The 13,661-nt window shown below is 42.4% G+C and overlaps 1 protein-coding gene and 2 long non-coding RNA genes across 12 annotated transcripts in view; 2 read left to right on the top strand and 1 right to left on the bottom strand.

Annotated features, from left to right (window-relative positions):
• The window catches only part of LYRM4 (LYR motif containing 4), a 229,198-nt gene that overhangs the window by 15,662 nt on the left and 199,875 nt on the right, over positions 1–13,661 (top strand). The window lies entirely within an intron of this gene.
• On the top strand, positions 201–6,738 carry LOC124901249 (uncharacterized). Its single transcript, XR_007059423.1, has 2 exons — positions 201–1,989; positions 4,566–6,738. It is a non-coding gene; the product is annotated as an uncharacterized LOC124901249 (long non-coding RNA).
• LYRM4-AS1 (LYRM4 antisense RNA 1) overlaps positions 4,793–13,661 on the bottom strand; it is a 236,681-nt gene continuing 227,812 nt past the window's right edge. Inside the window, exon 4 of the long non-coding RNA NR_126015.1 lies at positions 4,793–7,581. This is a non-coding gene — a long non-coding RNA (LYRM4 antisense RNA 1). The remainder of the gene's footprint in view (positions 7,582–13,661) is intronic.

The raw sequence follows: 13,661 nt of genomic DNA, 5'->3' as shown, positions 1-13,661 counted from the left end.
TTCCTTGTCCTTCCTTCCTCATCACATAAGAACATGAAAGATTCCCATAGAATTTTAAGATCAGGTGCTGTTTTCCCAAACCAAATTTATATTGATCTTTTTTGTTCCAGAAATTCACCTATTTTATATATATATATATATATATATATATATATATATATATATATATATATATTTTTTTTTTTTTTTTTTTTTTTTTAAGGTCTTCCTGCAAATAAAGTCAGCATGATTCCTTTGTCCTTGGGATCAGTGTCACATATGTGTTGTAGGCAAACAAAGAGCTAATGCATAGCCATGCAGTAACAGGATAATTTGGAGAAGACAATTAGCAGGGGATGAGCCTCAGCAGGAACCAGGAAAACAGCCCTCAGCCTGCCCAACCCCACCTCAGATGCCATCCGCTTCTCAGAACTACACTCAGCTACCCCCGTCAGTGCCATGAAAGCTCCACACTCATCCTGACATGTCTTGTACCACAGCCCACAGTCAGCGCAGATGGGCCCTTTGTGCCTCATGAGTTGAATGTCCATGTGTGCAGCCTGTCACTACTGACCCATCTGCCCACATCGTCACTGTTGTTGTGGCCCTCTCGGTGCCTCATGCTAGGTGGCCATGCAGACAGCAGGTCCCAACCCTCTATCCCAAGCTAGGTCAGAACTGCTTCTCCTCACAGAGTAAGGGACTCAGGTCTGGATCTGTTTCTTCCTGTGTTCTGGCTGAACTCACAAACTAGCCCAGAGAGGAGTCTCTCTTCTCCTTTCCAACACTCTCACCCCTCTGCTTTTGGCTCCCCATCCCCTGAGATCTTCAGATCTGGTCCATCCCCTAAGGAACGAGCAGGGATGGGGGAAGGGATGTATTACAGAGATGTCATATCAGTAGCATTTTTAAGAAGGACAGATGCTCCTTGACTTAGGACAGGGTCACATTCCCATAAAACTGTCATAAGTTGAAAATATATTTAATGCAGTACACCCAACCTACAGAACATATGGCTTAGCTAGCCAATTTTAAATGTGCTCAGGACACTACCCTTAGAATACAGTTGGGCAAAATCATCTAACACAAATCCTATTTTATAATAAAGTATTGAATATTTCATGTAACTTACTGAAAGCTATACTGAAAGTGGAAACACAGTGGTTGTATGGGTACTCGAAGTATGGTTTGTACAGAATGCCTGTTGCTCTCATGCCATCATAAAGTCGAGAAATCCTAAGTCAAACCATCGCATGTCTGGGACCATCTTTAGACTAAATTCAGGAAACAAGATATGTTAGAAATACGGTGTCTTCAAAATCATTTCCTTTCCCTTTTAAAAAATAAGAACGTAAGGAAAAGTTACCCCAGATATTGAGACATCTCAGATTATGGGCAAAATTTGGTGTAGGAATAAAAAAGGTTCATGTCATTGGAAATGTCTGCCACCATATGATTGTAGATACTTTGTTTTATTAAGATGCCACCATCTGTTTCACCAACGATTTTCAAAGGCCAGAAGAACCAATTTGAAAGATAAAGTATGGAAAAATAACTCTTTGTTTTAATTAATTAAAAATAACTGATATATAAAAATAACTTCTTGTTTCATAGCTTCTATTATCATATATAGTCTTCTGGTAATATTATTTTCATAGTAATTAACTTTAACCCACGGTCTCTCAAACGCTTCATATACTTCAGGCATGTAATTATTATCACAGGGAATTATTTCCCAGAATTCTTCTAACCCTAGGGAATAAGAGGGACTCCAGTGTTTATTTTTATTGTATCCTCCATTTTTTCTTCTTCTTTAAGAATGGAGGAAAGAGTTATTGCCTTTCAGCGCAACCTGTTTTCATTTTGCAATTCTTTTATATTTTCACTTGCCAGCCTGGAGAAAAATGTGTTCAGAATATTGGTACCTAAGAAAGGAGAATATGGTTGATTTATTTCCTGTTCGCAGAGTCCTTGCCGTGTGCACAAGAGTGGGAGCTACATGGCCAGCAGGTTAGAACCCCGCACGCTGTGCGCCCCGGGCATGAGCGTCACTGCAGTCCTGACTGTCTGACTCGGTGACGGGGCACTGCAAATAAAAGAAAGCACAGGGTACAGGCAAAACAAATGGGACAAGTGTGGGTGGAGCAGACACACGAACTGAGCATTTGCCCTTCAAATTCGCCCTTGAAGAATTCTCCCAGCCCTGCTATATCCAGCTCTTTAAGAGCAGAAATCCTGGCCGGGCGCGGTGGCTCACGCCTGTAATCCCAGCACTTTGGGAGGCCGAGGCGGGTGGATCATGAGGTCAGGAGATCGAGACCATCCTGGCTAACAAGGTGAAACCCCGTCTCTACTAAAAATACAAAAAATTAGCCGGGCGCGGTGGCGGGCGCCTGTAGTCCCAGCTACTGGGGAGGCTGAGGCAGGAGAATGGCGTGAACCTGGGAAGCGGAGCTTGCAGTGAGCCGAGATTGCGCCACTGCAGTCCGCAGTCCGGCCTGGGCGACAGAGCGAGACTCCGTCTCAAAAAAAAAAAAAAAAAAGAGCAGAAATCCTGTCATATTCATGTTGTTGCTGTTGTTGTTGTTTTGAGAAGGGGTTTCGCTCTCGTTGCCCAGGCTGGAGTGCAATGGAATGATCTTGGCTCATTGCAGCCTCTGCCTCCATGTTCAAGTGGTTCTCCTGCCTCAGCCTCCCGAGTATCTGGGATTACAGGCGCACGCCACCACACCTGGCCAATTTTGTATTTTTAATAGAGTTGGGGGTTTTACCATGTTGGTCAGGCTGGTCTCGAACTCCTGACCTCAGGAGATTCACCTGCCTCGGCCCCCCAAAGTGCTGGGATTACAGGCCTGAGCCACTGTGCCCAGCCTCATGTATTTTTAAATCTCCCACTGGCTTTGCCTAGAGTAGGAACTCTTAATTTAAAAGTATAAGTGGCCGGGCGCAGTGGCTCACGCCTGTAATCCCAGCATTTGGGGAGGCCGAGGCGGGCAGATCACGAGGTCAGGAGATCGAGACCATCCTGGCTAACATAGTGAAACCCCATCTTTACTAAAAATACAAAAAATTAGCCAGGCGTGGTGGCACGTGCCTGTAGTCCTAGTTACTCAGGAGGCTGAGGCAGGAGAATCGCTTGAACCAGAGAGGCAGAGGTTGCAGTGAGCCGAGATCACACCACTGCACTCCAGCCTGGGTGGCAGAGTGAGACTCTATCTCAAAAAAAAAAAAAAAAGTGTAAGCAAGCCAGGAAATTATAACTGAGACAATGTGTGTGTGAAGGCCTTGTAATCTGTAAAGCACTTACAGATTAAGGTAGTAGTAATATGGCCGGGAGTGTTTGGGAGTTTCTTATTTAGGTTGGAGGATCTTAGGGCCTTGCTAAAGAAGATGAAGGCCTCTATTAGAATCTCCAATATTTCTGAGTCAGGCCAATGGCACGATGTATCACCATTTTACTTCCAGTTATCTCCACGGCCTGTTTTCCTGTCTCTAATCCTTGTGGACAGGAACTTTTTGATATTGATATATAACATATGCCTGCGAACCATATTCATTCAATTAACAAATGTTTACTGAGCTTCCACCGTGTAACAGGCACTGTTCTAGGCACTGGAGATTCATCAGCGAAATAGAACTTATCAAGTTTCAGCCTTCATGGAGTTTATGTTCTACTAAGATTTATGTTACAGCAGAAACTTCCAATACTTTTGATCACTGAATACACTGGAGGCAGTGGTCTCATAAATGCCTATGCTGTACAAAATTCTATACTGAGGCCAAGTTACAGTCTGATTCCAGGGATCAAAAGCATTGGAAGAATTGGTTTCATTCAAATTCTGATGAAAACCATTGTAATGCTAATAAAGTCTGTACTTGCCTACGAGACTGTTTACTGCCTTAGGGATCTCTCCTCCATACTTACACAAATCCCTTATTATTTGGTAGACTGAGAAGAAAAGGTAGCTTCAGAGTGAATTAACATTGATTGAATACATGCTGTCTGTCACGCACTGTATGTTATAGACTTTAATATGCATTGTTTTATTTAGTATAGAGTCACTATGAAATGAGGATTCTTACTTCATTTTACAAATACAATCATAACAGCTCTTTTTTTTTATTAACCATCTCCCATGGGCCGGACACATACTAGGCCCTTCCTTGCATTGTCTTATTTAACTGTCATAAAAACTCTATTAAGCAGGCACTTTTAATTTCCCCCATTTTGCAAACAAGAAAGCTGCAGTTCATAGAATAGAAGTAACCTAAAATAACAAAGTTGGTATGGAGCCAGCTTAACACCGGATTCTCCAAAGCCAACGTTTTTCCCCGTATTCCACGTTGGTTCAGGCAGGTACATTCCCTGCTTCCACCTCCTTTTGCATTTTTGGATGTGCTTCTTTATGTAAGTGATAATAAGACTGACGCGTTCCAGTGTCCCTCCAAGTGGGCCCCCGCCATTGAGGCGCTGCTGGTGTTTCAGTGAAGCTTTTTCTGTTCTTGCCTCCCCTTGACTTAAATTACAGGTCAGCATGTGGACTCTTTAGTTGTTACTCCCTAAATAATTATTTTCATTTTCTTAGCAGTCCTTTCTTTCCCTGGCCATGCTCACAAAGCTGGGACCTACATTGGATACTACTGCTGCGGGTTTACAATCCTCAGTTGACCTGTCTGCGGGGAGACGGAAGCCCCTGAGTACTTTGCCCAGGATGTCTTGTCTTTGGAACTCCACTCCTCCCCAGCTTGGCAAAACCCTTGGTGTGCTCTTCTTTTAAAACAGGGTAAAACAGATACTTAACAACTGTCATTTCACAGTTGGTATTTTAATAGATATTTCTCCCAGCTGCTATTGTTTTAGATTTCTTAAGTAAATATTTTTGTATTGTGTTTGAGTATCCTAAGGTAATATTATCACAAAGGGTACAGTTTTATACATTGAAAATAAATTAACTTGGGTACATGCCATATTCCAAAGTGTCAGCAGAGGAGGGGGAGTAGTGTTAATGTAAATACTTCTGCAGAGTAGTAATAATGGATGGCAGAAAAAATGAAGAGAAAGGAAAGATAGGAGGTGAGATTTTACCAGAGTGAGTCAGGGAACAAGCAGACGTAGAGAAGGCCTGGAAAGGTTGGATGTACTGTAAGGAGAGTTTTCAGCAATAGGATACAGCTGAGGCTAGGTTTGGCAGAGCTAGGTGGAGTACTGAAAGGTGATGTCTTCGAAGCCTGTGGTGTTTTGAGTCTTATTTTGCCCTGTTTACCTTAATGGAAGGAAAGATCCTAGACCACAGGCCCTGGGTTCCACCTGATTGGCTGCGGCAGGCAGCATGAGCATCCCTGCCGGGGGCATCAGCTTCCCTTCTCTCTCTGTCCTCTCATGCACTTGTTCTGCGCCATGGCCAGGTACTGTTCCCTATGGGGGTGGTGAGAATGTTTTTAAGGGCCTATGCTCAGGGACCCTCATAGAGCAGAAACCCAGATTCTGCAGGTCTGGAAGAGCCTTGGGAAAAGACCAATGTGGCCTGTGCCGATTAGGAAGTCAGTGATACCCTGACAGCCTGCAGCTGGTGGGAATGGTCTGTGCACTCTCCCGGCTGTCAGCTGCCCTCACTCCTCACTCTGCTGCAGTCTGGCCTGCCACCTTCCTTCTTGTCACTTTCCTTCATTGTATCTTTGGCCCAATTAACCAGTCTCCAGCTTCTTTCTTCCTTCCCTAGCGTGCGGGACACCACCTTCTCCTTGTCTGCTCCTCTCTTGGCTCCGCTTGACATTGGAGGCCCCTTGCACTCCATCTTGACCTTCCCACACCCTCCCTAGATGCCCACAACTCATGGCTCCAACCTTGTGTGCTCTAGTGATTCCCCTCCATTTGTCCTTTCCAGGGGCCTCCTGGGCATTTTCTGGTTATGCTACCAACACCTCGTATCTAAACTAAAACTCCACATCATCCCTAACCCATCCCCAACCTAATCCTTCAGGCAAACTCAACACTCCAGCATTGCCTCTCATCATCCCAGTATTTCCTTGTGCAAGCTGGAAGTCACTTCACTTTCTCCCCTTACTTTACCGTAGTCAGTAGGTCCTTATGCCCAGCAGGTTCTCTCACTTATTTCCCTTGCCGGACCTTCTTTATGTCTCACGAGTTGATTGCTTTTTGTTGGTTCATCAGTTTCTGTCTGCATTTTGTACAGCCCCCTCCGGGTCTATCTACCTCCTGTTCTTTGCTCTGCCAGGCATCCTGCCTATTGCCACCGGAAAGAATATCTTTCTAAATTCCAAATCTGATTCTGCTGCTTGCTTAACACATGCGTGTAAAAGTAGCATAATGGGTTATCAGAAGCAGAATTCTTCCTTTAGAGGCTAACATTTTGTCAAGAAAATTTGACTAGGTAGATTTCAAATGCATAAATGCTGAATGAGAGCCCAGTTAATAGTCTCGGACTATGAATAACTGTGTCCAAGACCTTATTATGTTTATATGAAATAGGTTGGATTTGCTTATAAAATTCAGGTATCCTAGTAGATTCATTTTCTGCTGCTGGAAATAGTAAGGACTGACCCTGGGTCAAAATTTGCATTTGTTTCCTATCATGTAGAAACTTCAGCAAAATAAACAGGATCATAAAATTAACATTTTATTGTTCTTCACAGATCTGTATTCACTTCACCACTCTCACTGAATTAAATCACCCTGTTACTTGTTTATGTAAGGAAAAAAGAACAAGTCAACTGACTGAATAAACTATGGGTTATTTACAAGGCCCCTGGACTTACTCCTATTTAAATGCTTATGATTTGTTAGTTGACTTAATATATCCAGTGCCTATACAAATTCAGATAATCAATGATGTCTCTTTAAACACAAATCCTCTAATAAGAATTTCTTTTTTAACATGAGTATAGAATTACGCTGGGAGTGACTTCTCTTAACACTGTCATTTTGCTGCAGCATGGTTAAATTAAATTTACTTGGACTGCCCTGTGAACCTTACCATCATTTAACATTGTTGTTCCAAATTCTCAGTAAGAAATTTTAGAACCCTATCATGTCTCTCAGTATATAGTTTATACTCCCATAGTTTATTTGAAAACAAGTTGCATTTAATTTTATTCTGAATTTCGATATATTTTTAACCACAGATCAGAATTGTTTGTGGGTGTGTTAAGTAAGAAAAATCAGGAAAATAAGAATAGGAAAACCAAAATAAGTCCTGGGATGAGGTTTCCAAGCAAAAGGGTGGTTAGAAGGCAGGACAGTAAGCAGCCAGGAGCACGGCCTCAGGTCTGGTTCTGAGCTTCCCAGCAGCCTATGCAGGGAGAGGACCATGATTAGTAATGTGAGTCAGAGTGTCTGTGATACCGAAGCAGCCACTTTCTTAGAAGAATTGTAACTCTTTCTGGTGCTAAAGCGGAAGACATTCTCTTATGCTCTTTCAATGAAGGGCAGCATCCTCAGCATAAGTACAACAGTTTCAAAGGGCCTGTGCTTCTGGCATCCTGTCACGTTGGCTGGTAGCACAAGGCCACAGTAGGAAAGCATTTTGCAGGTAACCAAAATTGCAGGTCCTTGGCACATCCAACAGACACAGCTTAGCATATCTAGAAGAGTAGATACAGGGCTTGTCTTTTAGGCAATCCTTCATAAGTAGTGCTCAGTTCACCCCAACTTTTCATACATTTTAAACCAGTGGTCCCCAACCTTTTTGGCACCAGGGACTGGTTTCATGGAAGACAATTATTCCACGGACTGGGGTTGTGGGGGATGGTTTCAGGATAATTCAAGCACATTACATTTATTGTGTACTTATTTCTGTTTATTACATTGTACTATATAATGAAATAATTATGAAACTCACCATAATATAGAATCAGTGGGAGCGCTGAGCTTGTTTTCCTGCAACTAGATGGGTCCCTCTGGGGATGATGGGAGACAGGGACAGATCTTCAGGCGTTAGATTCTCATAGGGAGTGCACAACCTAGATCCTTCGCATGCGCAGTTCACAATAGGGTTTGTGCTCCTATGAGAATCTAATGCCACCACTGATCTGACAGGAGGTGGAGCTCAGGTGGTATTGTGAGCGATGGGGAGTGGCTATAAATACAGATGAAGCTTCGCTCATCTGCTGCTGTGCAGCCCAGTTCCTGATAGGCCACAGACAAGGGTTTGGGGACCCCTGTTTTAAACACCAGTGGATGTGAAGTTACACTCCCATACAAGCTCTAGACTGAGTAGAAAGCCAATTCTTTACCTTGAGGGATTTCCCACGGACAGAGTCAAAGACCCCTAAGAACTTTGAACCCACTGCAATTCAAAGCCCTTCTGTTCTGTTCCTTAGAGATTGTCTTTTTAAGAGACAGGGTCTCACTGTCACTCTGGCTGGAATGCAGTGGCATAATCACAGCCCACTGCAACCTCGACCTCCTGGGCTCAAGTGATCCACCCACCTCAGGCTCCCAAATAGCTGGGGCTACAGGCATGCAGCACCACACCCAGCTAATTTTTAATTTTTTTTTTTTTTTTTTAGAGACAGGGTCTCACTGTGTTGCTCAGGCTGGTCTTGAACTCCTGGGCTCAAGCAATCCTCCCGCCTTGGCCTCCCAAAATGCTGGGATTACAGATGTGAGCTACTGCGCTTGGCCCCCTTAGAGATTTTTTTAGAGGGATTATTATAACAGACCATCTCTTTTAAACAAAATAATATTCAGATGAGATCTTCAAATAATTTATAAACTGTAAGTCTGTAGGGTTAGTTTGAGTTAGGAGCCACTTAACATGTACCAAAAATGAAAACTTTGGTTTCAGAAAATTTTATCTAACACTTTTTTTTTTTCCTTTTTTTTTAGATGGAGTCTCACTCTGTCGCCCAGGCTGGAGTGCAGTGGTGCTGTTTCAGCTCACCACAACCTCTGCCTCCTGGGTTCAAGCAATTCTCCTGCCTCAGCCTCCCGAGTAGCTGGGATTACAGGCGCCCGTCACCATGCCCGGCTAATTTTTATATTTTTAATAGAGACGGGGTTTCACCATGTTGGCCAGGCTGGTCTCAAACTCCTGATCTCAGGTAATCCACCCGCCTCGGCCTCCCAAGGTGCTGGGATTACAGGCATGAGCCACCACACACAGCCTAATGCTCATTTTTAATAATGTAATATTTTGAGCTTACAGCCATTGTCTATTAACATCACTCCACTTGTTTATTAAAACCTCAATATCCACCTACGGGAAAATGGCTTTCCCTCTGCGCTCAGGAAGAGATATATTTGACTGTACTTTGTTCTTGTAGAGTGGTCATAGTTTTGTTGACATAGAGTTCCCTCTCAGATAGTGTCAAAAAAGTGGCATTAAGCATAATGTTAACATTTCTTTCTTATTCTAGGCCAGTATATTATATATACAGTATTAGGAATCTCAAAACCAGTGAGAATATTTTATATTTTCACACTTTTTCCAGTGGCAGTCAGTAAACACATTTTCTTCTGATGAAACCACTTTGTAACCAAGTAAAGCTCAAACACAGGGGTAAAAGAACAGACCTTGAGCTATGTTCTTAAGACTAACACAACCAGATTATTTTTCTGTTTAAAGAATTTGAAAGTAACTTACATCCACATACTTAATCTTGTGCAGGAGTAGAATTGTAATGATGTGTTTAAATACCTTATGCCTGATACAGCAAATGTTGAATGTAATATGCTGATAATTGGAGGTATATGTAAATTATTTCCAGAACTACCAAATATTAGCAATTTGCTATAATGGCTATTAAATGAATAATGAAGAAAAGATAAGCATGTGATTAGTCACCAAAACATAAAACTATTGTCCAAAATTTCTTGTGAAGTTAAAAAAAATGAATACTGTATTAGTCTATTGATATATATCATTCTTGTGACTAAATGTAACTGAATTTTTACTCCTTCTAGAATAGAAATCGGCTTGTGGGTCTTTGTGATTGTATTTGGTTTGTTTGTTTGTTTTAATTAAATAAAAAATTACAGTGTGCCAGGCGCAGTGGCTCATGCCTGTAATCCCAGCTATTCAGGAGGCTGAGGCAGGAGAATTGCGTGAACCCAGGAGCCGGAGGTTGCCATGAGCCAAAATCATGCTACTGCACTCCAGCCTGGGCAACAGAACGAGAGTCCGTCTCAAAAAAAATTACAATTCAACAGTGGTTTTAACACCACTATGTGCAAAGCATAGCAGGTCCTATAGGGGAAGTAATGATGGAAAGGGGCCAAGCACTGTCTTAAAGAGATGAGGAACCTGGTGGGAGGAGAGACCTGCAGTGAGTCCCCGGGTACAAGGCAGTAGAATGGGTAAGCAGTGTGCCAGGTACAAAGCTCTGGAGTGCAGCTGGCAGTGAACCTGAGCTCTGGGGGTTTGGGAGTAGGGGGACAGGAGTTTGGCATTCTCATTGGTAGAAACCGAATTTTGCTTGCTAGCTATAATTCTGAAACTACAACTTTACTGGTAATTTCCTTCTTCCTCAATCTAGTAATGTTACCAGAGAATTCCATCCCATGTTCAGTTCCACATACTTCCTTTTAAAGTCACCTTTCTTTTTTTCTTATAGCTCCTCTCTCCTTTTTCCAAAACTTTGTATTCCTTCTTCGATATTTTTATCTTTCCTTTTCTGTGTTTTCCTACTCATGTAGAACCTTGGGTTTTGAATTCTATATTTATTATTAGCCTGCCGTTGCAGAAAGGCTTTCCCTCTGGTGAAATTCTATTCATCCTTCAAAGACATCACCTTCCCTGGAAAGACTTCTCAAAGCCCCTGGCTGAGTTACTCCCTCTTTCTCTGTTCTCAGAGCACTGTGTATACTCCTGTTATAAAATAGAGTAATTTGTAATATGTGCCCAATACCAGGAGCTTTGTAAAGCTTGTCCTGTTTTGATTTGAATCCTTATAGCCTAAGGGCACCTGGCGCCTCTGTGGAGGAGCGCAGGAGTGAAGGGAGCTGCCCCGTGAAGGCCACTTGCCATTGGGTGATAAGAACACGAGGGGCTCATCTCACAGAAGTTCCTTGTTTTGTCCACATCTTAGGGATGCTAAACACAAACAGAATAAATAATTTAAATAATAGTGAAATTTTCCCCAAAACTAATGCTTCAAATGTAAAGCAGTTCTAAATTTAGTCTTCCTAAACAAGAATGAGAGTTTTTTATTTTATTATTTTATGTTTTACATCATGATAGAAAATACATTGTATAGACTGTTTTCAGAAATATGACTTGAAATTAAAGCCAATTGTGGTGACCCGTTTTAAACCAAATGAAATGATTAGTTGTAGTTGTTGGGGAGGAGGGGGTGAAAGGGCAGGCTGTAGAACTGCATTGTGACAGAATTTTTAGATCAGACCAAGTTTCACTTGCCTGGGTTCGTATCTTCTCAAAGCCAGTTCTGTGTATGACCGTGACCCAGCACAGGGATCTGTATGGTCTGGGACCATTTGGGAGAAGGGACCGTGAACATATTGCAGATCTCTGTTGTAACTAATGGAACTCACACAGCTCAGATTATCAGATGCAGGCTGAGCATGGTGGCATGGGCCTGTAGTGTCAGCTACTGGGGAGGCTGAGGCGGGAGGATCAGTTGCACCCAGGAGTTGGAGTCCAGCCTGGGCAACATAGAGACCCTGTCTTTAAAAAGAGAGAGAGAGATTGAGATCTGAGGCACTTCTTAGGATATGTGGCTAGAGGGTTATGTGAGATTCAAGTAAGGTACTTTGAATCAGCCTCCAGCCTCTGAATGTTGAAGGCACTGGCTGGGTAGAAGTTTTGTGCAGATCAGCATTTCCCACAGTATAATGGGTGTCACTGGGGGTGGGTAAGGTTCTGCGAATGAATCCAGGTCCCTAACTTTTCTTCTCACGTTCCAGGGCTTCTCCACTGCTTTAATATTCAAGTATTCTTTGTGATTGTTTTGGGAGTAAAGGGAATAAGGTGCTGTGTTTCTTCTTCCTCACTTAGGACTAGTATTTTCACATAACACATGCTGGGAAATGCTGGTTCGCATGTCAAATCTGATTGTCACCTGCTTTCGGCTTGCAGAAGCGCAAGTAGGCAATCAGAAGGCCCTCCCCAAATTTGCCAAGTCACTCATTTTTTTTGCCTGCCATTGATCATGTGGGTGAGACCCTCTCTCAGGAAATGGGAGGCAGGGCGTCTTCAGAGAGAAGGCAGTGAGGACGTCGTCCAGTTGAGCCTCTGCATACTGAATGCTGGGGATGGGGCTTCACTTTGTGTGCTAATCCATGGATGAGAGCCCTCTTAAGTATTGTGATAAATACAGAGTATCACACTATTGTGGCCTTTAATGCAGGGTGCACAATTTTAAATTTTTAGTAGGTAGTTAAGATGGAACTCAGTTAAGTTGGTCTACCCTACATTCACATGGATGCTAAACACCCACAGGGAAGCTGCTGTTTGTTGATTCTGAACAGGGCTTATTGTATCATGGAATTACAAACAATACTGAGGCCAAATACCTTCTTGCTCTGAGCATTTATGCGTATAGAAAACTCAGCCTTGGATTTAGGGCAAGTAATGAAAGTTTCATGCAACTCAAAATGAAAGCATGTTGCAGATTTCTGATCCCTGAGGTTTTTAGTGCTAAAATACAAGTGGTGGAGAGTAAACTCCTTATTTCACCATTTGCAACCTGGTATCTACATACTTAAGGACAACATCCAAACAGCAGCAGTTGCTGAGACCCTGGACTGAAGCAATTAGAAGATACCAAATTTAAAAGGAAAAGACTCCAGTGAGATATGTGAATGGTTTATTACCAGTGCAGCAAATTCTTCCTGGTACTTCTTTGCACTACTATGAAGTATACTGGCTCCTTTGATGTAATGACCCTCAGTTGCCTGTCTTTTCCATGTCTTCTAAGCCAGGCATGCTCTCTGTAAGTGTCCAGAAATTGGCACCACCTTTGTGTAGCATCTTTATTTCTAGAGAATTTCCACAGCTGGGCTGTCCAGTCAAGCAGGCAGTTTTCCTCAGAGCTCTGCAGAGTGATTGCAAGTTATAGGGATGACCAGGTTCCTTCAGCCTCAGTGTGCCCTGAAGGGAGAGATGTGATAATCCCACAGGTGAAGACTCCTTTTGCCAATCCTGTGGCAGTAAGAGTCCAGTTTATATTATTCAACAGTTTTTTTTGAGACTGCATTTTTTGGCTTGACCTTCCATGTCTGTTCTTCTTGTGTTTTGACAGATCAATGCCAAGTGCCATTCTGATATTGTTTAGTTAGTATTAAAAAGAAAAAAGTGGCATGGTAACCAGTAAGCATTTGTAAATGCAAATGTTTGCTCAATTTTATTCAGTCTCAAAGTCCTCAAGTTCTTTAAAGTAAAAATAAATCCTAACACACAAACACCTACTGGATGATTCACAGGGATGTTATAGAAATAAATTATGTAATGCATGGAAATATTTTGACCTACTTGGAAGAAAGATGCTGTAACAAGTTATTTGTATTATAAATAGCCAAGCAAACAAACTTTGTTTCAAGACAATATGGCACTCCGATCAAAATAACTATCCCTAGTTATGTTACAGTGCGTGGTATTGTATTCCGGGTCTCATGTTGTTTACGGCATCCCAGCAGATAAAAGAGGCTAAGTGTATTTTCAAATTTATGGAATTTTAGCCTGGACAAGACTTTAGAAATGCCA

This window comes from Homo sapiens, chromosome 6 (assembly GCF_000001405.40).
Source record: "Homo sapiens chromosome 6, GRCh38.p14 Primary Assembly".
Lineage (NCBI taxonomy): Eukaryota > Metazoa > Chordata > Mammalia > Primates > Hominidae > Homo > Homo sapiens.
The sequence above is the reverse complement of the archived record's forward strand: the minus strand, read 5'-3'. Positions and strand labels throughout refer to the sequence as shown.